Below are 26,333 nucleotides of genomic sequence, written 5' to 3' on the forward strand. Positions count from 1 at the left end.
ACTTGACCCTGGGAGGCAGAGTTTGCAGTGAGCCGAGATCATGCCACTGTACTCCAGCCTGGGTGACAGAGTGAGAGTCCTTCGAAAGAGAGAGAGAGAGAAAGAGAGAGAGAGAGGAAAGAAGGAAGGAAGGAAAGAAAAGAGAGAGAGAGAGGGAGGGAGGGAAGGGAGGGAAATGAGGGAAGCTAAGAGGGGGTTGGGCTGCAAATCCTATCTCTGGGCAGCGGGTCTGGGCCCCTCGTCCCTGCAGCAGGTCTGGGCCCCTCGTCCCTGCAGCGGGTCTGGGCCCCTCGTCCCTGCAGCGGGTCTGGGCCCCTCGTCCCTGCAGCAGGTCTGGGCCACTCTTCCCTGAGTTTGATGCTTGGTTTGGAGTCAGGGCTCTGAGCCCAGAGTCCCTGTGGAAAACACATCCCTCCACTGACTATGGCCTCTGTCCCACAACCTCCCCCCTCCCCAGGCCTGTGTGTGTTTAGACAGCTTGCCCTGCATTTTTAGAACAATTTTTAACTTGTAGGCTGTACCTGCGGAACCAGAATGTCTGGCCAAGACCTGTTACCTAACAGCCTCAGACCATTTGGGTGCCAACAGCAACTGCAGCTCTGGCCCAAGCCAGGTGTGGGCTGACCTAGCCAGGGAGCGGGGAAGTGAAAGGAATGGGTCCCTTCCCACTCAGAGGGCGGAGCCCCCACTTCTGGTGAGAGAAAGCTGAGCAGAATGGATCTAATCTGATTCCTCCACCCAGAAGCCCTTAAAATGCAGCTTTGTTTTAAGCCTTCTTGAAGATTTGGGCTAGATCTAGAAAAGAACCTCACCACGGAGGATGTGCAAAGTACAACACGTGACCCCGGAGACGGAAGCTCTTCTCTACCTCCGTAAAGATGATCTCTGATGAACAGACATGATCATGCCTGGAGAACAGGGATGGACAGTCCCGCTTCTGAAAGACCCTGTCTGGCTGATGATTCATGGTGCGCCGGGCAGACCCCAGGCCAAGAGACCCCACCCACAGTACCTGAGTGCTCAGCTGGGAACCAGACCAGACCTCAAAACAGGTTTGCAGAATTAAGATGAGGAGCTGAGCTCAACACAGCCTCCGCAGCTCCCCAGGGCGGGCCTGAGCCGAGGGAGAGCCCATGGCCATCAGGGTGCTGGAATGCATGTCACACTGCATTACGTGCATTACGATCCACGCTGCAATGACAGCCCAGAGCGTGGAGAACCCAGAGAGGGTGGGGAGATGGAATCCCGGCGAGCCAGCGCTGGCAGGGACCACGGGGAGCAGCTGGTCCAGCCGCCGGTTTTCCAAGAGAGAAGACTAAGAAGTGAGTCACTTGCCCACAGCCACAGAGAGAAGGAGGGCAACGAGGCCGGCAGGTCAGCAGCGAGCAGTTAGTTCAAGGCCTTGAGGGCTTCCACTAACTTTGAAGGGCGAGGATGGGCGGAGCTCTGGAGGCCGCCGGGGTAGGTTCGAGGGGAGTGTTCAAGAAGCCTCTTTTTTTTTTTTTTTTTTTTTTTTTTTTTTTTTTTTGAGACGGAGTCTTGCTCTGTCACCCAGGCTGGAGTGCTGTGGCGTGATATCGGCTCACTGCAACCCCCACCTCCCAGGTTCAAGAAATTCTCTTGCATCAGCCTCCGGAGTAGCTGGGATTACAGACACCCGCCACCACACCCGGCTAATTGTTGTATTTTTAGTAGAGACGGGGTTTCACCATGTTGGATAGGCTGGTCTCAAACTCTTGACCTCAGGTGATCCACCCGCCTTGGCCTCCCAAAGTGTTGGGATTACAGGCCTGAGCCACCACAACAAGCCAAGAAGCCCTTTTTGTAGAGTTCTAATCCTGGGTCTGCGGCTGAGCCATGGTTGTGTTCACAAAGCAGAGCAATCAACCGGGCATAGGGATGGACCTCCTGGGGCCAAAATGGCGGCTGACATCTCCACCCTGACCTTTCTTCTCAGGTTCCCAAGGTTACCACCCAACCCTGCCAACTTTCGCACCCCGCAAGGAGCAAGACCCCGCCCGCTCACCACCTGCCTGTGCAGCCAACGGGCCTCGCTGAGCTGCCCTGGGCCGCTCCCTCCATTCACACAGTTGGCCCTCCCTCTCCCTGCCTCCCTTCGCCTACCCCACGAACTACTTCATCCCTCTGGGCCGGCACTGTAGAAGCCCCATTGTTCACATCGACCTCCCAATTATCTCCTCTTTCCCTCTCCCTCTGCTCCTGCCCAGACCAGCCCCCCAGCATTGACCTGGATGCCTGCCACAGCCTCCTCCCTGGTCTCCGGCCTCCCACCTCTGCTCCTCGGTCTCCTCTACCCAGCCAGTAACTGCAGAGAGCACTAAAGCACAGTCCTGGCATCTCACCCCCTTAACCCTGGCCACGGCTTCCCAGTGCCTCCAAGATAAAGCACCAACACCTGAGGACAGCAGGTGAGTCCTCCCGGAGCTAGCTCTCCCCCACCTTCCTGTCACCCTCTGCCCCAGGCTCTGCCCGTGCTGCTGCCCCCTGAACCCACACTTCCGTCTTTTGCTTTCCCTTTCCCTGGGATGCTCTTATACCCCCTGGCCCCCTGGGATATCTTCTCATCTGTTAAGTCTCAACCCAGAGCTGCTTCCTCTGGGAAACCCTCATTGGTCTCCTCGGGCAGAGGCTGGTGTTTTTCTCTCATGCGTCCTCGGGCAGAGGCTGGTGTTTTTCTCTCATGCGTCCTCGGGCAGAGGCTGGTGTTTTTCTCTCATATGCCTGCAACAGCCTGGGATTTCCTCTCTCAGCGCTTTTTTTTTTTTTAATCAAAAAAATTTCGACGGGGAGACAGGATCTCACTATGTTACCCAGGCTGGTTGTGAACTCCTAGCCTCAGGTGATCCTCCTGCCTCGGCCTCCCAAAGTGCTGGGACGACAGGCATGAGCCACCGTGTCTGGCCCTCTCAGCACTCGCTACCGAGGGTGTTCTAATACTTCATTCGCCTGCTGTGGGAGGCAGCCTCTAAGATGACGCTCAGTGATCCCTGCCTCTTGGTATTTCCTGTGTAAAACCGTCCCCTTGAATGTGGGCTGGGCTAATTGACTCACTTTTTAATTTATTTTTCAGAGACAGTTTTAAATTTATTTTTCATTCTATTGCCCAGGCTGGAGCACAGTGGCATAATCATAGCTCACTGCAGCCTCAAACTCCCGGGCTCAAGTGATTGCCCACCTTAGCCTCCCTAGTAGCCAGGAATCCAGGCGCACACCACCACGCCTGGCTCTGATTGACAGACGCACACCACCACACCTGGCTCTGATTGACAGGCACACACCACCACACCTGGCTCTGATTGACAGGCACACACCACCACACCTGGCTCTGATTGACAGGCGCACACCACCACGCCTGGCTCTGATTGACAGGCACACACCACCACAGCTGGCTCTGATTGACAGGCACACACCACCACGCCTGGCTCTGACTGACAGGCGCACACCACCACGCCTGGCTCTGACTGACAGGCGCACACCACCACGCCTGGCTCTGACTGACAGGCGCACACCACCACGCCTGGCTCTGACTGACAGGCGCACACCACCACGCCTGGCTCTGATTGACAGGCACACACCACCACAGCTGGCTCTGATTGACAGGCACACACCACCACGCCTGGCTCTGACTGACAGGCGCACACCACCACGCCTGGCTCTGATTGATTCACTTCAAACCAGGAGAATCTGTAACTGCCCATGTGCTCTTCTTGCCCAATGCCCAGTTAGAGCTGATTTATTACAACAGGGGAATTGCAATAGAGAAAGAGTTTAATACACGTAGAGCCAGCGAAATGGGAGACCAGAGTTTTATTATTACTCAAATCAGCCTGCCCCAAAATTCAGAGGCGAAGGTCTCTTAAGGAGAGTTTGGTGGGCAGGGAGCTATGGGACGTGTGCTGCTGATCAGCTGGGGGGGCAATCACGGGGGTGTGGAAATTGGCCCTTGTGCTCTGAGGCAGCCTCTGGGTAGTGGCCACAGAGGAGCTGCTGGTTTGGGTGGGGCCTTCCGGTCATCAGTAACCTGAAACCCTGAAAAGAGATCTCAAAAGGCCAATCTTAGGTCTTACAGTAGTGATGTTATTTACAGGAGTCATTGGGGAAGTTGCAAATCTTGTGACTTCTCATGGGAATCATCTCACAGCACCCACATATTCGCGGAATTCATGCCCCTTTCCTCCTCTTAACCCAGTGGCCTTTGGAATAGTGGCTGGGAATCATCTCACGGCACCCACATCTTCGTGGAATTCATGCCCCTGTCATCCCCCTAACCCGGTGGCCTTTCATTAGTTTTACAAAGGCAATTTAGTTTTGGAAAGGGCTATTATCATTTAAACTATAAACTACATTTCTCCCAAACTTAGCTTGGCCCACACCTGTGGATGACCAAGGGCACCAGCCTGAACAACACGGTGAAGCCCCTCATCTACTAATAATACAAAAATTACCCGGGCGCTGTGGCGTGCCCCTGTAGTCCCAGCTACTCAGGGGGCTGAGGCAGGAGAATGGCATGAACCCGGGAGGCGGAGCTGGCAGTGAGCCGAGATCACACCACCGCACTCCAGCCTGGGCGACAGAGCCAGACTCCGTCTCAAAAAAAAAAAACAAAAAACAAGCAGTGAATGTGGATCTAAACAAAATCACAACGTAACTCAATCAGGAGGAAGAGAAGGGCAGAGAGTTTCTGTGTGGTGGGGACAGGGAGAACAAAAATGAGCTACATCCTCATTGTTCACAGTGAAAACTCAATAGATTTATCTCAGGCTGGGCACAGTGGCTCACACCTGTAATCCCAGCACTTCGGGAGGTTGAGGCCGGCTGACCACTGGAGTCCAGGAGTTCGAGACCAGCCTGGGCAACATAGGAAGACCCCGTCTCTACAAATAATTTTAAAAATTAGCCAGGTGTGGTGGTGCATGCCCGCGGTCCCAGCTACTCAGAAGGCTGAGGTAGGAGGATACCTGAGCCCCTGGAGGTCGAGGCTGCAGTGAGCTAAGATCACACCACTGCACTCCAGCCTGGGCGACAGAGAGAGACCTGTCTGAAAAAAAAAAAAAAGAATCATCTGAAAAAATTGACAGTGGTTGAAAATCATTGACATGAGGCCAACTAATTAACAGAAAAAAGGCATAAAACTAATTTACATGCACATAGGGAGAGTCAGGGTGCCTGCGCCCCAGTGGGGTTCAGAAGCTCATACAGCATCCTGGCAGCACAGTTTATGGGAGGCAGGAAAAGAGGGGGATAAAGGATTACTAGGGAAAGTAAATGGATCTAGGAACAGAGATCAGTTTACATACTATTTTGTGGAAAGTTCTGTTCAAGTTTGGTTACATTCCTGGCTTTACAAATAATTGCTCCTTGTGGGTCTGGAACTTGACCAATTAAAAAACTTCAACTTCTTTGGGGAAAGGTCAGAGAGACCTCAAGGCTTCTTCGGTCCCATATGTCAAAGCACCATATTCTGGGGTATTGGTTTCTGAGTTCCAGCACCTGTAAGGAGTAGAAAAAGGAGTCTGAGTTGCAAAGGATGGGGGTTTTCACACCAAGTAAACTCATAAAACTATGTTCAAGTATAACTCTATTACAAATTAAAATACAAATCTACCACGGCTGGGCACAGTGGCTCACGCCTGTAATCCCAACACTTCGGGAGGCTGAGGCGGGCAGATCACCTGAGGTCAGGAGTTTGAGACCAGCCTGACCAACATGGAGAAACCCCGTCTCTACTAAAGATAGAAAAATTAGCCAGGCACGGTGGTGTGCACCTGTAATCCCAGCTACTCGGGAGGCTGAGGCAGAGGAATTGCTCGAACCCAGGAGGTGGAGGTTGAAGTGAGCCGAGATCGCACCACTGCACTCCAGCCTGGGTGACAGAGCGAGACTCTGTCTCAAAAAAAAAAAAAAATCTACCACAATGTCTACATATGGAAGGTGCTCCAAAAGCGTGAACCATTAGAATTCCTATGGAATGACGTTTTCATCAAACAGCTTTTGCTATACTTACAGGTGGATGTGATTGCAAACAACAAAGCCTGAACTCAGATGGGGAAAGAATCAGTGGGGATCATATTGTGTCATGTCCAAGAGGTTCACAGATCAAATTCAGGCATGGCTGGATCCAGGCGTTCACAGCGTGCCAACAGAGATCTTGCTGTCTCCATTTCTTGGCTCCATTCACTGTGTTGACTTTGCTCTCAAACAGGCTCCTCTCAGACCTTAGCACACTGGCCTCCAGCGGTTGCAGGATTCTATACTGCTGGCTTAGTGCTCCCAACAGAAAAAGAGTGTCTCTACTTGGTAGTTGCAACCAAATGCCTCAGATAGACACTGACATGGTTTGGCTCTGGGTCCCCACCCAAATCTCCAGTTGAGTCCTAATCCTCAGTGTTGGAGGTGGGGCCTGGTGGGAGGTGGTTGGATCATGGGGTGGATTTCTCATGAATGGTTTGGCACCATCCTCTCGGTGCTGTTCTCCATAGTGAGTTCTCGAGAGATCTGGCCGTTTGAAAGTGTGTGGCCCCACCCCCTCGCTCTCTCTCTTGCTTCTGCTCCTGCCGTGTGAAGTGCCTGCTCCCGCTTCGCCTTCTGCCATGATTGGAAGTTTCCTGAGGCCTCCCCAAAAGCCGGGAAGAGGCCAGCGTCATGCTTCCTATGCAGCCTGCAGAACTGTGAGCCAATTAAACTTCTTCTTTTTTTTTTTTTTGAAACGGAGTTTCAAAAAAACAACGGAGCTCTTGTTGCCCAGGCTGGAGTGCAATAGTGCAATGGTTGGGATTACAGGCATGCACCAACACGCCTGGCTAATTTTTGAATTTTTAGTAGAGTACAGACGAGGTTTCACCATGTTGGTCAGGCTGGTCTCGAACTCCCAACCTCAGGTGATCTGCCTGCCCCAGCCTCCCAAAGTGTTGGGATTACAGGCGTGAGCCACCACATCTGGCCAATTAAAATGATTTCTTCTTTTCTTTATAAATTACACCGTCTCAGGGTTTTTTTTGTTTTGTTTTTTGTTTTTTGTTTTTAGACGGAGTCTCACTCTGTCTCCCAGGCTGGAGTGCAGTGATGTGATCTCAGCTCACTGCAACCTCCGCCTCCTGGATTCAAGCGATTCTCCTGCCTCGGCCTCCCAAGTAGCTGGGACCACAGTCACACACCACCACGCCTGGCTAATTCTGTATTTTTAATAGAGACAGGGTCTCACCATGTTGGCCAGGATGGTCTCGAACTCCTGACCTCAGGTGATCCGCCTGCCTCAGCCTCCCAAAGTGCTGGGATTACAGGCGTGAGCCACCGCACTCAGCCAGTCTCAGGTATCTTTTTACACCAGTGTGAGAACAGACTAATACAGACACTCATTGATCTGGCTTGGGTCACATACCCACCCTTGAACAGATTGCCGTGACCAAGGGAATAGAGCACTTGGATTGGCTAAATCCCAGTCCTAAGCCGACCGCTGGAACCACGGACAAAGTGGGGGCAGAGTGGTCTCACAAAGAAAAATATGGATGCTTTTATTAGAAAGAGAGAAGACGCTGCAAAACCAACAGGTCTCCCCTGTGTCTGAAGACTGAGACTAGGCCAGGCACGATGACTCACACCTGTAATCCCAGCACTTCGGGGGGCGGAGGCAGGCGAATCACTTGAGGTCAGGAGTTCAAGACCAGCCTGGCCAACATGGCGAAACCCCATCTATACTAAAAATACACAAATTAGACAGATGTGCTTGTTTGAACCCAGGGAGTGAAGGTTGCAGTTAGCTGAGAGTGCGCCACTGCACTCTAGCCTGGGCAACAGAGTAAGACTCTGTCTCAAAAAAAAAAAAAAAAAAAAAGACTGAGACTGCTGTTTGCCTTCATCAGCACAGAAGCCGCTAGTTAGGAACCATTCTCCTAGCACACCCACTCCCTGTGCTTCACAAAAGCAGGTCAATGTTTACAGAAGTCCCCTCTTCCCACGTCTTCTCATCTTCAGGGGAAACTGTTGCGAGGAACAGAGGACTGGAGAGACCAATACGGGAAACAGGAGGATGTTTATTTAAGGTGCACCAGCTCAGAGGATTCGTATCCAAAAAGCTGAGCATTGAACAAAGTCAGGGTTTAGCTTATATAGGCCAGCGCAAAGGCTGTCAATCACACAGTGACAGCTTCTGTCATCTACAGCATAACTAGTGACTTGGCACAACCTGTGCCCTTGCATAGCGGGTAACCTTGCAGCTGAGGCAAAAGAAAACAGGAACTTACAAATCTGACTAAGTACAAGCATTGGCAAACATAGTCAGAATTATTAGTTCAGAGAAGGAGAGACAGTCAAGGAATTTGGTTTTGGGGATTTTTTGTTTTTCAACCATGCTCGGGGGTGTCTGGAGCCTATTCTTGCAGCTTTTGCTTCTCAGACTAGGTCACCGCGACCTTTTTATAGCCTTGCCTGTTACTATCCTTAAAGTAAATAAATGCAGTACTTATGTTTCTTTAAATTTCTGCCTCAAAACAACACTAATTCTCCTGATTGTCTTTCATGACAGTTTCCAGACCTCTCACTTTTCTGGCTGTCTTTCCTGGATGCTGAGTAATGTCAAATGTGGCACTAAAATTCAGCACCCAGGGCTGAATGAAGCTTCAGGTGTGCCCCGATCAGCCCAGAGGCCAGTGGCATGCTCAGCTCAATTCTGCTTGGCAGCAAAGCCACTTACAGATGCACTGGCTTTTCAAACGACTGAATGCATTGTTGACTCTTACTCAGCTTGCAGCCAATATCTTTTTTTATGTGAGCTGTCATCAAGCCAGGGATTCCTCATTCTCCATTGGTGCAACTGGCTCTTGAACCTACATCAAGAACTTTGTCCGTGTTCATTTCACATTGTAGGTCTTAGTGCATTTTTGCTGTTCTTTGAGGTGTTTTTGAATATAGATCCTGTCTTCAGTACTAACCATCTCTCCGGGTTTTGCACAATCTACCCATTTGAATGGAGACATTCTTAATTTTCATCCAAGAGGATAATAAAATAAATCAGGGTCAAGGTTAAAACTCACAACCAGGCGTGGTGGCTCATGCCTGTAACCCCAGCACTTTTGGGAGTCCAAGGCGGGCAGATCATTTGAGGTCGGGAGTTTGAAACCAGGCTGGCCAACGTGGTGGAACCCACCCCCCATCTCTACTAAAAATACAAAAATTAGCCGGGTGTGCTGGCATGCACCGGTAGTCCCAGCTACTCATGAGTCTGAGGCAGGAGAATGGCTTGAACCCAGGAGGTGGAGGTTACAGTGAGCCGAGATCGCGCCACTGCGCTCCAGCCTGGGCGACAGATCAAGACTCTGTCACAAAAAAAAAAAAAAAGAAAAGAAAAGGATAAAACTCTGTCCCACCACCCAAGCCCACGTGACATGTGGACAATAATTAGCATATTCTGGATGTGAAGCCAAATCCCTATGGAACAACCAAACTCTATTCGTTTTCCAGTTTTGCCATAACACGTAATCACAAACTAGATGGCTTAAAACAACAGAAATTCATTCTCTCACAGTTCTGCCATCAGAAGTCCTAAGTCAGCAGGGCCATGCTCCTTCTGAGGCTCTAGGGAAGAGTCCTTCCTAGCCTCCTTCTAGCTTTTCAGGGTTGTTGTGTATCCTTGATATTCTGTGGGCCGTAGCTCATCCTTCCATCCCTACCTCTATCTCCACATAGGGGTCCCTCCTCTTACAAGTCATTGAATATAGGGCCCACCCTAATCCATTATGAGTTTATCTTATTTGATTACATCTGCAAAGACCCCTATTTCCAAACAAGGTCACATGCCCAGGGACTAAGGGTTAGAACTTGAACATAACTTTTTGGAGAGCACAATTCAACCCACAACACAAGTAGGATCAGTTTCCGTCTTTCTGTCTCCTTGACCTCCAGGCTCTGAAGAGCATCTCCATCAGAAAACTTGCTGCAGCCTCGACCTCCTGAGTTCAAGTGATCCTCCCACCTCAGCCTCCCAAGTAGCTGGGACTACAGGTCCAGGCCACCATATTCAGCTAATTTTTTTATTTTTTGTAGAGATGGGGTCTCTGTTGCCCAGACTGGTCTTGAACTCCTTGTCTCAAGTGATCCTCCTCCTTTGGCTGGGATTACAGGTGTGAGCCACTGTGCCCTGCACTTGCTGACATCCAGATGGCCATAGGATTCCATGTACCCCTGGCCCCCAACACCAGTCAACCTGATCCACTAACCCAGTCTAGAGTGGTGGTTGTCAGCGGGAACTCTGTGTGGCTGCCCTCTCCCTTTCCAACTCTTTGAGATTCAGACAAAATCTGCCCTGGGGGAGGAGGCTGGAGACTCCTGGTTGTGGAGGATGCAGGCCATGGAGTGACTTGCTGAAGAGAATGGCGTGAGACAGACCTCAGTGACTTTGGGCTTACTCAGCCTCCCTTGCAACTCATTTTCTTCAGCTGTAAAATGTAAATAATAAAACCTATCCAGCTGGGCGCGGTGGCTCACGCCTGTAATCCCAACACTTTGGGAGGCTGAGGCAGGCAGATCACAAGGCCAGGAGTTCAAGACCAGCCTGGCCAACATAGTGAAACTCTGTCTCTACAAAAATACAAAAATTAGCTGGGCGTAGTGGTGGGAACCTATAGTCTCAGCTACTTGGGAGGCTAAGGCAGGAGAATTGCTTAAACCCAGGAGGTGGAGGTTGCAGTGAGCTGAGATCCGTCTAAAGAAAACCAAAAAGCAAAAAACCTATCACCTTTATGAGGATTAAATGACATCACATTTGTAAAGTGCTTAGCCCAGGCAGCCGTGAGTAGCAGTGGTCGTTGCCAATTGTTGCCGCTGTTAGCTGCTTGGGAGTCAGATAAAGCTAGATTTGAATCAGATCTTTTCTTTTGTTTTTTTTTTGAGGGACGGGGTCTTGCTTTGTTACCCAGGCTACAGTGCAGTGGCACCATCATAGCTTATTGTAGTCTCAAACTCCTGGGCTCAAGTGATCCTCCTGCCTCAGCCTCTCAAGTAGCTGGGACTACGGGCGTGTGCCACTGGCCCACCAACTATGAACCCAGATTTTCTTTTTAAAAATTGTTTTTTAATTTTTTTTTTTTTGAGACGGAGTTTCGCTTTTGTTGCCAGGCTGGAGTGCAATGGCACATCTCGGCTCACCGCAACCTCCGCCTCCCGGGTTCAAACGATTCTCCTGCTTCAGCCTCCTGAGTAGCTGGGATTACAGGCAGGCGCCACCACACCCGGCTAATTTTGTATTTTTAGTAGAGACGGGGTTTCTCCATGTTGGTCAGGCTGGTCTCAAACTCCCAACCGCAGGTAATCTGCCCTCCTCAGCCTCCCAAAGTGCTGGGATTATAGGCGTGAGCCACTGCGCTCGGCCCAGTTTTTAAATTTTTTGTATATTCTTCTCTTTTTTCCCCATAGGTTATTGGGGTACAGGTGGTATTTGCTCACATGAGTAAGTTCTTTTGTGGTGATTTGTGAGATTTGGGTGCACCCATCACCCGAGCAATATACACTGAACCCTATTTGTAGTCTTTTATCCCTCCCTCCCCCCACACTCTTCCCCCAAGTCCCCAAAGTCCATTGTGTCATTCTTTTTTGCTGTTGTTATTTTTTGTTTGTTTTTTGTTTTTGTTTTTGAGAGAGAGTCTCGCTCTGTCACCCAGGCTGGAGTGCAGTGGTGCAATCTTGGCTTATTGTAACCTCTGCCTCCCAGGTTCAAGCAATTCTCCTGCCTCAGCCTTCCATGTAGCTGGGATTACAGGTGCATGCCACCACACCCAGCTAATTTTTGTATTTTTAGTTGAGACGGGGTTTCGCCATATTGGCCGGGATGGTCTCGAACTCCTGACCTCAGGTGATCCGCCTGCCTCGGCTTCCCAAAGTGCTGGGATTACAGGTGTGAGCCACCACACCCAGCCTAGATGGCTTTTATTATATTGAGATGTGTCCCTTCTATGCCGATTTTACTGAGAGTTTTAATCATAAAGGGATGCTGGATTTTGTCAAATGCTTTTTCTGCATCTATTGAGATGATCGTGTGATTTTTGTTTTTAATTCTGTTTATGTGGTGTATCACATTTATTGACTTACATATGTTAAACCGTCCCTGCATCCCTGGTATGAAACCCACTTGATCATGGTGGATTATCTTTTTGATATGTTGTTGGATTCGGTTGGCTAACATTTTGTGAAGGATTTTAGCATCTATGTTCATCAGGGATATTGGTCTGTAGTTTTCTTTTTAGGTCAGTTTTCTTTTTGGTTTTCCTGGCTTTGGTATTAGGGTGATGCTGGTTTTAGAGAATGATTTAGGGAGCGTTCCGTCTTTCTCTATCTTGTGGAATAGTTTCAGTAGGATTGGTACCAATTCTTCTTTGAATGTTGGATAGAATTCTGCTGTGAATCCATCTGGTCCTGGACTTTTTTTTGTTGGTAATTTTTAAATTACCATTTCAATCTTGCTGCTTGCTGTTGTTCTGTTTGGGGTATCTAATTCTTCCTGATTTAAGCTAGGAGGATTGTATTTTTCCAGGAATTTACCCATCTCTTCTTGGTTTTCTAGTTTATGCATGCAAAGGTGTTCACAGTAGCCTTGAATCATCTTTGGCATTTCTGTGGTATCAGTTGTAGTATCTCCTGTTCCGTTTCTTAGTGAGATTATTTGGATTTTCTCTCCTCTCTGTTTTTCTTTTTCTTTTCTTTTTCTTTCTTCCTTTCTTTCTTTCTTTATTATTATTATTTTTTTGAGATAGAATCTCACTATTGTTGCCCAGGCTGGAGTGCAATGGCACGATCTCAGCTCACTGCAACCTCTGCTTCCTGGGTTCAAGCGATTCTCCCACCTCAGCTTCCCAAGTAGCTGGGATTACAGGCGCCCACCACCACGCTCAGCTAATTTTTGTATTTTGAGTAGAGCTGGGGTTTGGCCATGTTGGCCAGGCTGGTCTCAAACTCCTGACCTCAGGCGACCCACCTGCCTCAGCCTCCCAAAGTGCTGGGATTACAGGCGTGAGCCGCTGCGCCCGGCCCTCTTCTTTTCTTGGTTAATCTTGCTAATGGTCTATCAATTTTATTTATCTTTTCAAAGAAACAGCTTTTGGTTTCATTTATCTTTTGTAATTTTTTGTTTGTTTGTTTCAATTTCATTTAGTTCTGCTCTGATCTTGGTTATTTCCTTTCTTCTGCTGGGTTTGGGTTTGGTTTGTTCTTGTTTCTGTAGTTCCTTGAGGTGTGACCTTAGATTGCTTGTGCTCTTTCAGACATTTTTTTTTTTTTAGACAGAGTCTGGCTCTGTCGCCCAGGCTGGAGTGCAGTGGCGCGATCTCAGCTCACTGCAAGCTCCGCCTCCCGGGTTCACGCCATTCTCCTGCCTCAGCCTCCCGAGTAGCTGGGACTACAGATGCCCGCCACCGCGCCTGGCTAATTTTTTGTATTTTTAGTAGAGATGGGGTTTCACCGTGTTAGCCGGGATGGTCTCGATCTCCTGACCTCGTGATCCGCCCCCCTCGGCCTTCCAAAGTGCTGGGATTACAGGCGGGAGCCACTGCGCCCGGCCTCAGACTTTTTGACGTAGGTGTTTAGAGCCACGAACTTTCCTCTTAGCACTGCCTTTGCTGTGTCCCAGAAGTTTTGACAGGTTGTGTCACTATTGTTGTTCAGTTTGAAGAATTTTTTAATTTCCATCTTGAATTAATTTTTGACCCAATGATCATCCAGGAGCAGGTTATTTAATTTCCATGTATTTGCGTGGTTTTGAAGGTTCCTTTTGGAGTTGATTTCCAGTTTTATTCCACTGTGGCCATGAGAGAGTGCTTGATAGAATTTCAATTTTCTTATATTTATTGAGGCTCGTTTTGTGGCCTATCATATAGTCTATCTTGGAGAAAGTTCCATGTACTGTTGAATAGAATGTGTATTCTGCGGTTGTTGGGTAGAATGTTCTGCATATATGTTAAGTCCGTTTGTTTCAGGGTATAGTTTTAATCCATTGTTTCTTTGTTGACTTTCTGTCTTGATGACCTGTCTAGTGCTGTCAGTGGAGTATTGAAGTTCCCCACTATTACTGTGTTGCTGTCTATCTCATTTCTTAGGTCTATTAGTCATTGCTTTACAAATTTGGGAGCTCCAGTGTTAGGTGCATATATGTTTAGGATTGTGGTATTTTCCTGTTGGACAAGGCCTTTCACCATTATATACTGTCCCTCTTTGTCTTTTTTAAGTGCTGTTGCTTTAAAGTTTGTTTTGTCTGATGAAAGAATAGCTACCCCTGCTCACTTTTGGTGTCCATTTGCCTGAAATGTCTTTTTCCAGCCCTTTACCTTAAGCTTGTGCGGGTCCTTATGTGTTAGACGAGCATCCTGAAGGCAGCAGATAGTTGGCTGGCGAATTCTGACCCATTGTGCAACTCTGTGTCTTTTAAATGCAGCATTTAGGCCATTGGCATTCAATGTTAGTATTGAGATGTGAGGTAGCATTCCATTCATCGTGCTATTTGTTGTCTATATGGCTCGGTTTTTTGTTTTTATTTTTTAAATTGTGTTTTTGTTTCATACGTCCTGTGAGATTTATGCTTTAAAGAGGTTCTGTTTTGATGTGTTTCCACGATTTGTTTCAAGGTTTAGAGCTCCTTTTAGCAGTTCTTGTAGTGCTGGCTGGGTAGTGGCAAATTCTCTCAGCATTTGTCTGGAAAAGACTGTATCTTTCCTTCATATATGAAGCTTAGTTTCACTGGATACAAAATTCTTGGCTGATAATTGTTTTGTTTGAGGAGGCTGAAGATAGGACCTGAATCCCTTCTAGCTTGCAGGGTTTCTGCTGAGAAATCTGCTGTTAATCTGATAGGTTTTCCTTTATAGGTTACCTGGTGCTTTTGCCTCACAGCTCTTAGGATTATTTCCTTCGTCTTGACTTTAGATAACCTGATGACTATGTGCCTAGGCGATGATCTTTTTGCGATGAATTTCCCAGATGTTCCTTGAGCTTCTTGTATTTGGATGTCTAGGTCTCTAGCAAGGCCGGGCACGTTTTCCTCGATTATTTCCTCAAATATGTTTTCCAAACTGTTAGATTTCTCTTCTTCCTCGGGAACACCAATTATTCTTAGGTTTGGGTGTTTAGCATAATCCCAGAATCCTTGGAGCCTTTGTTCATATTTTCTTGTTCTTTTTTCTTTGTCTCTGTTGGATTGGGTTAATTCAAAGACCTTGTCTTTAAGCTCTGAATTTCTTTCTTCTGCTTGTTTGAGTCTATTGCTGAGACTTTCCAGAGCATTTTGCATTTCTATTAGGTGTGTCCAATGTTTCCTGAAGTTTTGATTGTTTTTCATTTATGCTGCCTATTTCCTGGAATATTTCTCCCTTCACTTCTTGTATCATTTTTTTCCTTACATTGGGGTTCGCCTTTCTCTGGTGCCTCCCTAGTTAGCTTAATAACTCACCTCCTGAATTCTTTTTCAGGTAAACCAGGGATTTTTTTCTTGGTTTGGGTCCATTGCTGGTGAGCTAGTGTGATTTTTTGGAGGTGTTAAAGAACCTTGTTTTGAGTTGGTTTTCTGGTTCCTTCTCATTTTGGTAGTCTCTGTCAGAGGGAAGGTCTAGGGCTCAAGGCTGCTGTTCAGATTCTTTTGTCCCACGGGGTGTTCCCTTGATGTAGCACTCTCCCCCTTTTCCTATGGATGTGGCTTCCTGAGGACAAGCTATAGCGATTGTTATCTCTCTTCTGGATTTAGCCACCCAGCACGTCTACCAGGCTCCAGGCTGGTACTGGGGTTGTCTGCACTGAGTCCTGTGATGTGAACTGTCTGTGTGAGTCTCTCAGCCATGGATACCAGCACAGTATTTGGGGTGTCTCATGGGTCCTGCAGGAGCGATCTGCTTCCTTCATGGGGTCTGTGGGTGCTCTCAGCTTTCCTGCTTTATTCCTGCAGTCATTCCAGAGCAAAAATTCACTATGTGAGTCTCCACAGCTGCTCTGTCCATCTGAGTCACAGCTGCAATCTAGTCCTGCCTCCCGTCCGCCATGATCCCTGTAACTCTCTATTTATTATTATTAATTATTATTACTGAGACAGAGTCTCGCTCTGTTGCCCAGGCTGGAGTGCAGTGGCACAGTCTCAGCTCACTGCAACTCCGCCTCCTGGATTCAAGGGATTCTCCTGCCTCAGCTTCCCAAGTAGCTGGGATTACAGGTGTGTGCCACCACGCCTGGCTAATTTTTCTACTTTTTGTAGAGACAGGACATTGCTTTGTTGGCCAGGCTGGTCTCGAACTCCTGACCTCAGGTGATCTGCCCACCTCAACCTCCCAAAGTGCTGGGATTACAGGCGTGAGACATGGCACCCGGCCTGAACCCAGATTTTCAACTGCCCCCTGAAGCAAATTTCTTTTTTTTTTTTTCACTTTGCTCATTTTATTTTATTCAATCCTCACAACAACCTAAGAGGTGTATTATAATCAGCACTAGTTTAAAAATATGAAAACTGAGGCTTAGAGACATTAAATAATATGTTTAAAGTCCTTGAGCTAATAGGCAGAGGAGCTGTGATTAAAAACCAGGTTTGATGACATAATGTCTACATTCTTAATCTGTGGTGTTGAATTTCCAAACACATTTAAGTAATTAAGTCCCATAATGTTTCACACACCACACAACTCTGAGAGGAGTTTCTCACAACACTCACTGCAGCCCTTCAGTTTCGGCATCTGTAAAACGAGACACCTGACTAACCCTTAGGCTGCTGTGAGCGCTCAGGTCACCCAGCATGGAGCCTGGAGTGAGAAACCTGTTACAGATGTTTGCTTCTTCCCTTCCCTTCTCCTGTGAATAAAAGGGGCTGTTCACCTGACATGGCCTACCCTTAGGAAACTCAAGGTGCCTCTTTTTTTTTTCTGAGACAGAGTCTTGCTCTATTGCCCAGGCTGGAGTGCAGTGGCACGATCTTGGCTCACTACAACCTCTGCCTCCCGGATTCAAGCTATTCTCCTGCCTCAGCCTCCCCAGTAGCCGGGACTACAGGCACACGCCACCACGTCTGGCTAATTTTTGTATTTTTAGTAGAGACAGGGTTTCACCATATTGGCCAGGTTGGTCTCGAACTCCTGACCTCATGATCCGCCTGCCTTGGCCTCCCAAAGTGCTGGGATTACAGGCATGAACCATGATGTCCAGCCATGACCACTCTCTTTTCTATGTCCCTGGGGAGAGACCTCGAATTTTATTTGGAGCCTGTCTTTATAAAGACTCTAAATTGTGGCCAGGCACAGTGGCTCATGCCTGTAATCTGAGCACTTTAGGAAGCCGAGGCGGGTGGAGGTCAGGAGTTAGAGACCAGCCTGGCCAACACGGTGAAGCCCCATCTCTACTAAAAATACAAAAAATTAGCTGCGTATGGTGCCGCACACCTGTAATCCCCAGCTACTTGGGAGGCTGAGGCAGGAGAATCGCTTGAATCTGGGAGGTGGAGGTTGCAGTGAGCCAAGATGACACCACTGCACTCCAGCCTGGGCAACAGAGTAAGACTCCATCTCAAAAAAAAAAAAAAAAGACTCTAAATAGTGTTTATATATGGTGTATATATATATATATATCTTTGATGTATATCTTTGTCCATCAGGTCAGCTTGTTCTTTCGAAACCCTCTCCAGTCACTAGTTTTGTTGTCGTTGTTGTTGTCTGAGACGGAGTTTCGCGCTCGTCACCCAGGCTGGACTGCAATGGCATGATCTTGGCTCACTGCCACCTCCGCCTCCCAGGTTCTAGCAATTCTTCTGCCTCAGCCTCCCAAGTAGCTGGGATTACAGGTGCGGGCCACCACACCCAGCTAATTTTTTGTATTTTGAGTAGAGACGGCGTTTCACTGGTTCAGTGTTTGTACGTGAGTGCGTTCCCACAAATGGCAGTGTGTGCTGTGCGTGGTTTGGTAACCTTCATTGTTTTACTCCACAGCTTGTTTTGAGAGTCCCCTCCATTGAAACACGCACATCTAATTTGTCCTTCAGTTCGCTGGACTCCACGCTGAACGTGCCATGCTCCATTGCCCCGTGAGTAACTCCATGCTCTTGCCGGTTTCACACGGCCTCTCAGAGCTGGAGCCTTTGTTCAGGAGCCCTGGGCAGCTTTCAGGAAGCTCTTGGGCTCATCAGCTTCCTCTGGCTGAAGCCGCCCCAGTGGAATCATGGGGATTTCTTACTTTGAAGGTGGGGCCACCCGCAGACTGTAACCGGCTGGTTCAAGATCAAGGACTTCCCCAGGCCACCTGCCTCAGAGGCAAGAAAGGCTCAGCTGAGTCCCAGACACTCCTCGCTGTGGCCCCTCCTTCCTCCCTGCTGGGCAGGCCCCCCTCAATTCTGTTTGCCAGCAGGGCCTAGTAACACTGAAAGACGAAAAGGGAAATAAAATAAACACAATTAATAGGCTAAAGGTTACTGAATAAAGTGGCAGCAGTAAATAAATTGACTACTGTGCAAATACAAAGACATGAAGACATGAAACCCCTGCTCTAAATGACCACTCACCAAGAGCAAGGCCTGGGCTGGAGGCAGGGAGCACCTCCCTAAGGAGCACTCCCTCTTTCCCGGAGTGAGTCCTCCTTCTAGATGGAATTCAGTCCGGGTTCCTCTTGAGCCACAGTCCCTGTTGGGGCCTATCTCAGTGGACTCAAGATCCTGAACTTCTTCCAGATTGCTGACTACACATTTGAGTCACCCAGAGATTAAAAGAAAAAACAAATAATTTCCCAGTGATCAGGAGTAAATCAGCTGGGGCAGGGTTGGTGCTATGAATGACCACACTGATTTGTACACTTCACTGATTTGTAGTGTTTGCTATTTCCGTCGTGTAAATACTGCCAACATGGACAATCTTCAGTTGCTAATGGTTTACTAACTGGCTTGTAAATGAATTCATTCAGTATTCAAGAAAATGGCACTACATTTAGAAACATTTTGTAGCATTTCTTACTTTCTAAGAATTTCCAATAGACACCATGATCACTAAAAAATCATAACCAGGCTGGGGGCAGTGGCTCACGCCTATAATTCCAATAATTTGGGAGACCAAGGAGGGAAGATCACTTGAGGCCAGGAGTTTGAGACCAGCCTGGGCAACATAGCAAAGACTCCATCTCTACAAAAAAAAAAAAAAAAAAAAAAAAAAAAAGTTAGGCAGCTGGTGGCAGGCACCTGTGGTCCCAGCTATTCAGGAGGCTGAAGCAGGAGGATCACTTGAGCCCAGGAGGTTGAAGTTACACTGAGCCGTGATCACACCACTGCATTCCAAATAAAAACTAAATTAAAATATATATATATATATATATATATATTTTTTTTTTTTTTTTTTTTTTTTTTTTTTTTCTGAGACAGAGTCTAGCTCTGTGTCCAGACTGGAGTGCAGTGGCATGATCTCGGCAACCTCCACCTCCCAGGTTCAAGTGATTCTCCTGCCTCAGCCTCCGGAGTAGCTGGGATTACAGGCGTCTGCCACCACGCCCAGGTAATTTTTGTATTTTTGGTAGAGATGGGGTTTCACCATGTTGGTCAGGATGGTCTCGATCTCCTGACCTCGTGATCCACCCACCTTGGCCTCCCAAAGTGCTGGGAATACAGGCGTGAGCCACTGCGTCTGGCCTAAAATAAACTTCTAAAAAAGAAAAATTGGCCAGGCACAGTGGCTTATGCCTGTAGTCCCAGCACTTTGGGAGGTCGAGGCAGTTGGATCACCTGAGGTCAGGAGTTCAAGACCAGCCTGACCAACATGGTGAAACCCCGTCTCTACTAAAAATACAAAAATTAGCCAGGCATGGTAGTGGGCACCTGTAATCCCAGCTACTCAGGAGGCTCAGGCAGGAGAATTGGTTGCACCTGGGAGGTGGAGGCTGCAGTGAGCCAAGATCATACCATTGCAGTCCAGCCTGGGCGACAGAGCAAGACTTCGTCTCAAAAAAAAAAAAAAAAAGGGAAAGAAAAATTATAACCAATCGACATTCAATAAATTATTTATTGGCTGGGCGCAGTGGCTCATGCCTGTAATCCCAGCACTTTGGGAAGCCGAGGTGGGCAGATCACATGAGGTCAGGAGTTCGAGAGCATCCTGGCTAACATGATGAAACCCTGTCTCTACTAAAAATACAAAAATTAGGTGGGCATGGTAGTGCGAGCCTGTAGTCCCAGCTACTTGGGACGCTGAGGCTGGAGAATCATTTGAACCCGGGAGGCAGAGGTTGAATGAGCCAAGAATGGCATCACTGCTCTCCAGCCGGGACAACAGAGCAAGATTCTGCCTCAAGGAAAAAAAAATTCAATAAGTTATTTATTTGTCAAATAATTTATAAAGCAGCTTTCTCAAAGCCCTTTCAAAAAGTTTACAGCAGCCAAGAGTGGTGACTCATGTCTGTAATCCCAGCACTTTGGGAGGCCAAAGTGGGCAGATCACCTGAGGTCATGGGTTCGAGACCAGCCTGACCAACATGGTGAAACCACGTTTCTACTAAAAATACCAGAATTAGCCAGGCATGTTGGCATCAGCCTGTAGTTCCAGTTACTTGGGAGGCTGAGGCAGGAGAATCACTTGGACCCAGGAGGCGGAGGCTGCAGTGAGCCAAGATCATGCCATTGCACTCCAGCCTGGGCAATGGAGCGAGACTCTGTCTCAAAAAAAAAAAAAATTACAGCAAAAAATACTTGATGTGGGCCACAGGTGTGTTTTAATATGCTTGATCTGATGTGCGAGAGGCCCTGAGAGGGAGTGTTTCCAGGACCTACAGAGGGAATGAGAGAGGAGAGTCCCTGCTGTCGGGAGGTGGGTGAGAAAAGCTCCTACCACTGCAGAAATCCTCCTGTAAGGCTCCTCGGCGGCTCACCAGGCGATTCCTCAGCGAAGAAAGGTGAGGCAGCTTGCCCAGGGTCACCCGGCCAGTCTCAATTGAGGACTGACAACCAAAATGAGTGACTGAGGCAAGTCTTAATCACTGAGGTTTATTAAGCCACGTTAGGGCGCTTCTGGGAAAAACAAGCCACAGACACATCTGTGGCTGTTTTTCCCAAGAAGTTCCAAGTTTTGTATTTGTACATTTCTTCCTTTTTTTTTTTCTTTTTGATACGGAGTTTCACTCTTGTTGCCCAGGCTGGAGTGCAGTGGCGCGATCTCAGCTCACTGCAACCTCCACCTCCCGGGTTCAAGCGATTCTCCTGCCTCAGCCTCCCGAGTAGCTGGGATTACAGGCATGAGCCACCACACCCGACTGATTTTTGTATTCTTAGTAGAGACGGGGTTTCTCCATTTGGTCAGGCTGGTCTCAAACTCCTGACCTCAAGTGATCCACCCACCTCAGCCTCCCAAAGTGCTGGGATGACACCTAGGAAGAGGGGCAGGCGGGCAGTCAGGCTTAGGCGAACACTACATTTTATATAAGATAAGGTGAACATCTGAAGGTGGAAATGAGCGCCACTGCACTCAGCCTGGACAACAGAGCAAGACCCTGTCTCAAAGAAAAAGAGAAGTGTGAGTGGTCCTGATTTTTAAAATTTTCCTTTACAGGACTTTGGACACTAGAACTAGGCCTCTTTCCAAAACATGCTGATACTGAAGGGGTCACGCTGAAGGCTGAGGGCTAGGGCCTTTAAAGGTGGGGCACCCTCTTCCTTCTACCCGTCCTTGACCCTCAGCAGACTACAGGTTGATCTCCCCTTTGCCATGAGTGCCCAAGGAGGGAACTTGTGATCTAGCAGTTTCTTGATAATCCCCAAAAGGCTTTAATTACTCCATTTCCCTGCCACGCCCAGGGCAGGAGGAGGGTGAGCGGGAAAGCTGTCCACCTTCTGCTAAACGGGTCAGGAGGCATCGGGAGCCACGTGGGTTGTGGTTTAGGAGCCTGAGCTGCTGATCCCCAGGCAGGCCTACACAATGGGAGCTGCTCCCTGCAGCCCCCGGGCCGGCCTGGGTTGCATAACCCATGAGGTCAGCCCGGCCTGCGGCAGTTGCTTTCCCACAACGGAGGGGCCGCTCCCCACCTCCTGCGGGACCCACAGCCCTGGGTCTCTTTCCAGCTTTCCTCTTTCACTGGCAAAGCTGCAGGCCCCATAAACTGGGGAAGGGTTGAGGCCCTGCCTCTCCTGAACTGGGCAAGGGTCGAGGACTTCCCCATGGGTCCAGGCCTCCAGCATTACATCAGGAGGTAGCCTGGGGAGGACAGAGCACTGAATCCCTCTGGCATCAGCTCCTCTGGCCAGCCCTGCACCTGCTCTGTGGGGCTAGGGCCTGGGGAGGTGTCCCAAAATAGCCCGCAGGGGCCCGGGAGCTCTGGCCTTCAAGGTCAGACACTAGCACTGAGAATCCTGGTGAGGCTGTCTTCCCAGACCCCGCCTGGCAGGCCGGCTGGGCACGGCTGCGGAGAAAGACAGGGCAGGCTCCCCAGGCACTGGCCCCCGCGGCAACCTCTCCTGTCTCTAAAATCGGATGTAGATTAAGAACGCTCCATCTGGCAAGACCAAATGGAATTCGGCAGAAGCATAACCAGGACACTGGGTTTTGGATCTGTGACTCTCCACACATGCAGAGGACAAAAATACAAGAGAAAGGGGTCAGGAGAGAGGCGTATGATGGGGGGCGGGGGTGTGATGTGTGTGTTGTGTGGGTGTTGTGTGTCTTTATGATATGTGTGTGTACACCTGTGTTGTGTTGTGTGTGTATTGTATGTGTTCTGTGTGTCTGTTGTGGTGTGTGTTGTGTGTGTGTGATGTGTCTGTTGTGTGGTGTTTGTATTGGTGTTGTATGGTGTGTGGTGTGTGTGTGTCTGTGTGTGATGTGTCTGTTGTGTAGTGTGTATGTATGGGGTGGTGTGTGATGTGTGTGTCTGTTGTGTGGTGTGTGTATGATGTATGTCCGTTGTGTGGTGTGTGGTGTGTCTGTTGTGTAGTGTGTGTATATGGGGTGGTGTGTGGGGTGTGTGTGGTGTACGTGTGTTTGTTGTGTGGTGTGTCTGTTGCATGATATGTGTATGGGGTGGTTGTGGTGTGTGTCTGTTGTTTGGTGTGTGTGTGTGTGTGTGTGTGTCTGGGGGGTTGTGTGCTATATGATGTGGGGAATGGACATTGACTCAGTGTGTGGTGTTGTCTGTTGTGTGTTGTGGTGTGTGTATCTGTTGCGTGTTGTGTGGTGTGTGGTGCGTGTGTGTGTCTGGGGGGTTGTGTGCTATATGATGTGGGGAATGGACATTGACTCAGTGTGTGGTGTTGTCTGTTGTGTGTTGTGTGTGTGTGTCTGGGGGGTTGTGTGCTATATGATGTGGGGACATTGACTCAGTGTGTGGTGTTGTCTGTTGTGTGTTGTGTGTGTATCTGTTGTGTGTTGTGTGGTGTGTGGTGTGTGTGTGTGTCTGGGGGGTTGTGTGCTATATGATGTGGGGAATGGACGTTGACTCTGTGCGTGTGGTGTGTGTGCCTGTTGTGTGTTGTGTGGTGTGGTGTGTGTGTGTGTCTGGGGGGTTGTGTGCTATATGATGTGGGGAATGGACAGTGACTCAGTGTGTGTGGTGTGTGTCTGTTGTGTGATGTGTGTTGTGTGGTGCGTGTGTGTGTCTGGGGGGTTGTGTACTATATGGTGTGGGGAATGGACATTGACTCTGTGTGGCTGGAAAGTGATCTTTCAAGAGAGGATTAACCAAAGGAAATGGGAAATTGAGGTCAGGATGGATAAGGAAAACATGGGGCAAACTGGGTGGTCAGAGAAAGACGAGGATGGCCTCTAGGCTCCAAGAGCACCCCAGATAAAAGGCTGGAATAGGGGCAGGAGAGAAGCCCCCCGTACAGAGGGTTATTCCAGGGCCTGAGGGCATCCCCTCCACCCCAGAGGAGTGAAGGTGGGAGGAAGTGTTTTCTGCTTAAGCATTGGGAATAAACGTGGCTGCCAACAACAGAAAACTTGACTGGCAGGTGTAAAGAAATAGTGGTTTCTTTGTCTCCCAGAATAAAAAATCTGGAAGTGGGCAGGGCTGGCATCTGTGGGGTTCACTTGGCCTTTCCCCATGGAAATAAGACTGCAGCAGTTTCCGTATCAGGAGTCTTTTCAAAGCAGGAAGAAGGCGGTCTGTCCTAGGCACCCTCCTTCCACACAGGTCCCTTGGCCAGAACAGGTCACGTGGTTTCTCCCAGTTGCAAGGTAGGCCGGGGAAGCACAGGGCAGTTGCCATGATCCGTGGCTCACCCTGGCTGACCACTCTGTTATGCCCCAAACAAAAGCAGTTTCATTAGTAAGGAAGAAGGGGACATGAATATCGGGAAGCCAGTCATGCCACACGAGACCCTGGGGAGCAAACATTTTTCCTTTTGTTGTTGTTGTAGAGCTGAGGTCTCACAATGTCACCCAGGCTGGTCTCAAACTCCTGGCCTCAAGCGATCCCCCTGACTCTCAAAATGCTGAGATTACATGCATGAGCCACCACACCTGGCTGATAAACATTTTCAATAAAGGCTAAATTCAGGTAATATAATCTCCTGCCCTGCCCACTGCACAGACAAATCAATCTCGAAAGCTCAGAGGTATTTCAAGAATAGTTTGGTGGCTGGATGCGGTGGTTCACGCCTGTAATCCCAGCACTTTGGGAGGCCGAGGCGGGTGGATCACCTGAGGTCAGGAGTTTGAGACCAGCCTGACCAACGTGATGAAACCCCGTCTCTACTAAAAATACAAAATTAGCTGGAGGTGGTAGCGGTGGTGGGCGCCTGTAATCCCAGCTACTCAGGAGGGTGACACAGGAGAATCGCTTGAACCCGGGAGGCGGAGGTTGCAATGAGCCGAGATCGTGCACTCCAGCCTCGGTGACAGAGTGAGACTCAGTCTCAAAAAAAAAAAAAAAAAAAGAATAGTGAATAGTTTGGTGGACAGGGGCTATAGGAAACGGGGAATGTTGGTTGGTTGGGAATGAAACCATACGGGTGTGGAACCCGGTCCTCTGTGTGTGTGTGTGTAGACTGCCTCTGTGTGGGGGCCACAGGACCAACTGAGTCATGAGTCTCAGGTTGAGTGGAGTCAGCCAGTCAGAAATGCGAAAAGTCTGAAAAGACATCTCAAAACACCAGTCTTAGGTTTTACAATGGTGATGTTAGCTACAGGAACAATTGGGGAAATTGAAAATCTCATGACCTCCAGAACAATGGCTGGTTACCCTTTATGCCTACATCTCAGCAGAATCCAGGCTCTTCTCATAATCCTGATCTTGTGTGCTTTCATTCATTTTATAAGGGTGGTTTAGTTTGGGGAAGGGCTATTATCATCCTTGTTTTAAGGTTAAACAATAAACAAAATTCCTCTCAAAGTTACCTTGGCCTAAACCCGGCAGGAATGACCCAGGTTGGAGACTGGAGGTAAGACAGCCAACTATGTCAAATTTCTCTTACTGTCATAATTTTATTTTATTTTATTTATTTATTCATTTATTTATTTTGAGACAGAGTTTTGCTCTTGTTGCCCAGGCTGGAGTGCAATGGTGCAATCTCAGCTCACCGCAACCTCTGCCTCTCGGGTTCAAGTGATTCTCCTGCCTCAGCCTCCCAAGCAGCTGGGATTACAGGCCCGCGCCACCACACCTGGCTAATTTTGTATTTTTAGTAGAGATGGGGTTTCTCCATGTTGGTCTCCAGGCTGGTCTCCAACTCCCGACCTCAGGTGATTTGCCCACCTTGGCCTCCCAAAATGCTGGGATTACAGGCATGAGCCACTGCGCCTGGCCTTTATTTATTTATTTATTTATTTATTTTTAATTGAAAGAGACAGGGTCTCACTATGTTACCCAGGCTGGTCTCAAACACCTGGGCTTAATCAATCCTCCTGCCTCAGCCTCTCAAAGTGCTGGGATTACAGGCATGAGCCACCATTCAGCCATTGGTTTCAATAATATTCCAAAGTTGATCTGAAAGAGCCTCCAGAAAGCTGTGAGGCCCCACATTGGGAATGCGACCCAAAACCCCAAGGTCGGGGTCCTGACCCATTTGTGCGATCATCTCAGTCAACATTAATTGTCTTGGTCTTCTTAGCAACCTCACGATGACAGAAATGCTATTATTTCCCTTGCTACAGATGAAAAAGGAGGGGCTCAGACAAGTTCAGAAACTAGGTCAATGGCCGGGCGTGGTGGCTCACGTCTGTAATCCCAGCACTTTGGGAGGCCAAGGCGGGCAGATCACCTGAGGTCAGGAGATCGAGACCAGCCTGGCCAACATGGTGAAACCCCATCTCTACTAAAAAGACAAAAACTAGCCAGGCATGGTGGCCTACGCCTGTAACCCCAGCTACTCTGGAGGCTGAGGCAGGAGGATCACTTGAACCCAGGAGGCA

The 26,333-nt window shown here is 48.7% G+C and overlaps 1 long non-coding RNA gene across 1 annotated transcript, besides 3 other annotated features; it reads left to right on the forward strand.

The window, feature by feature from the left end:
- Positions 1 to 687: 687 nt before the first annotated feature.
- Positions 688 to 18,942, forward strand: LINC00885 (long intergenic non-protein coding RNA 885). Its single transcript, NR_034088.1, has 3 exons — positions 688 to 1,052; positions 1,958 to 2,429; positions 17,952 to 18,942. It is a non-coding gene; the product is annotated as a long intergenic non-protein coding RNA 885 (long non-coding RNA).
- Positions 17,919 to 17,988: an enhancer, noted in NCBI's record as "active region_21068". NCBI's record gives its function as "activates an Ori minimal core promoter by ATAC-STARR-seq in GM12878 lymphoblastoid cells {active_cell/tissue: GM12878}" and the evidence as "EXISTENCE:reporter gene assay evidence [ECO:0000049][PMID:35858748]".
- Positions 18,009 to 18,208: an enhancer, noted in NCBI's record as "active region_21069". NCBI's record gives its function as "activates an Ori minimal core promoter by ATAC-STARR-seq in GM12878 lymphoblastoid cells {active_cell/tissue: GM12878}" and the evidence as "EXISTENCE:reporter gene assay evidence [ECO:0000049][PMID:35858748]".
- Positions 18,509 to 18,558: a silencer, noted in NCBI's record as "silent region_15056". NCBI's record gives its function as "represses an Ori minimal core promoter by ATAC-STARR-seq in GM12878 lymphoblastoid cells {active_cell/tissue: GM12878}" and the evidence as "EXISTENCE:reporter gene assay evidence [ECO:0000049][PMID:35858748]".
- Positions 18,943 to 26,333: the final 7,391 nt, after the last annotated feature.

This window comes from Homo sapiens, chromosome 3, assembly GCF_000001405.40.
Source record: "Homo sapiens chromosome 3, GRCh38.p14 Primary Assembly".
Lineage (NCBI taxonomy): Eukaryota > Metazoa > Chordata > Mammalia > Primates > Hominidae > Homo > Homo sapiens.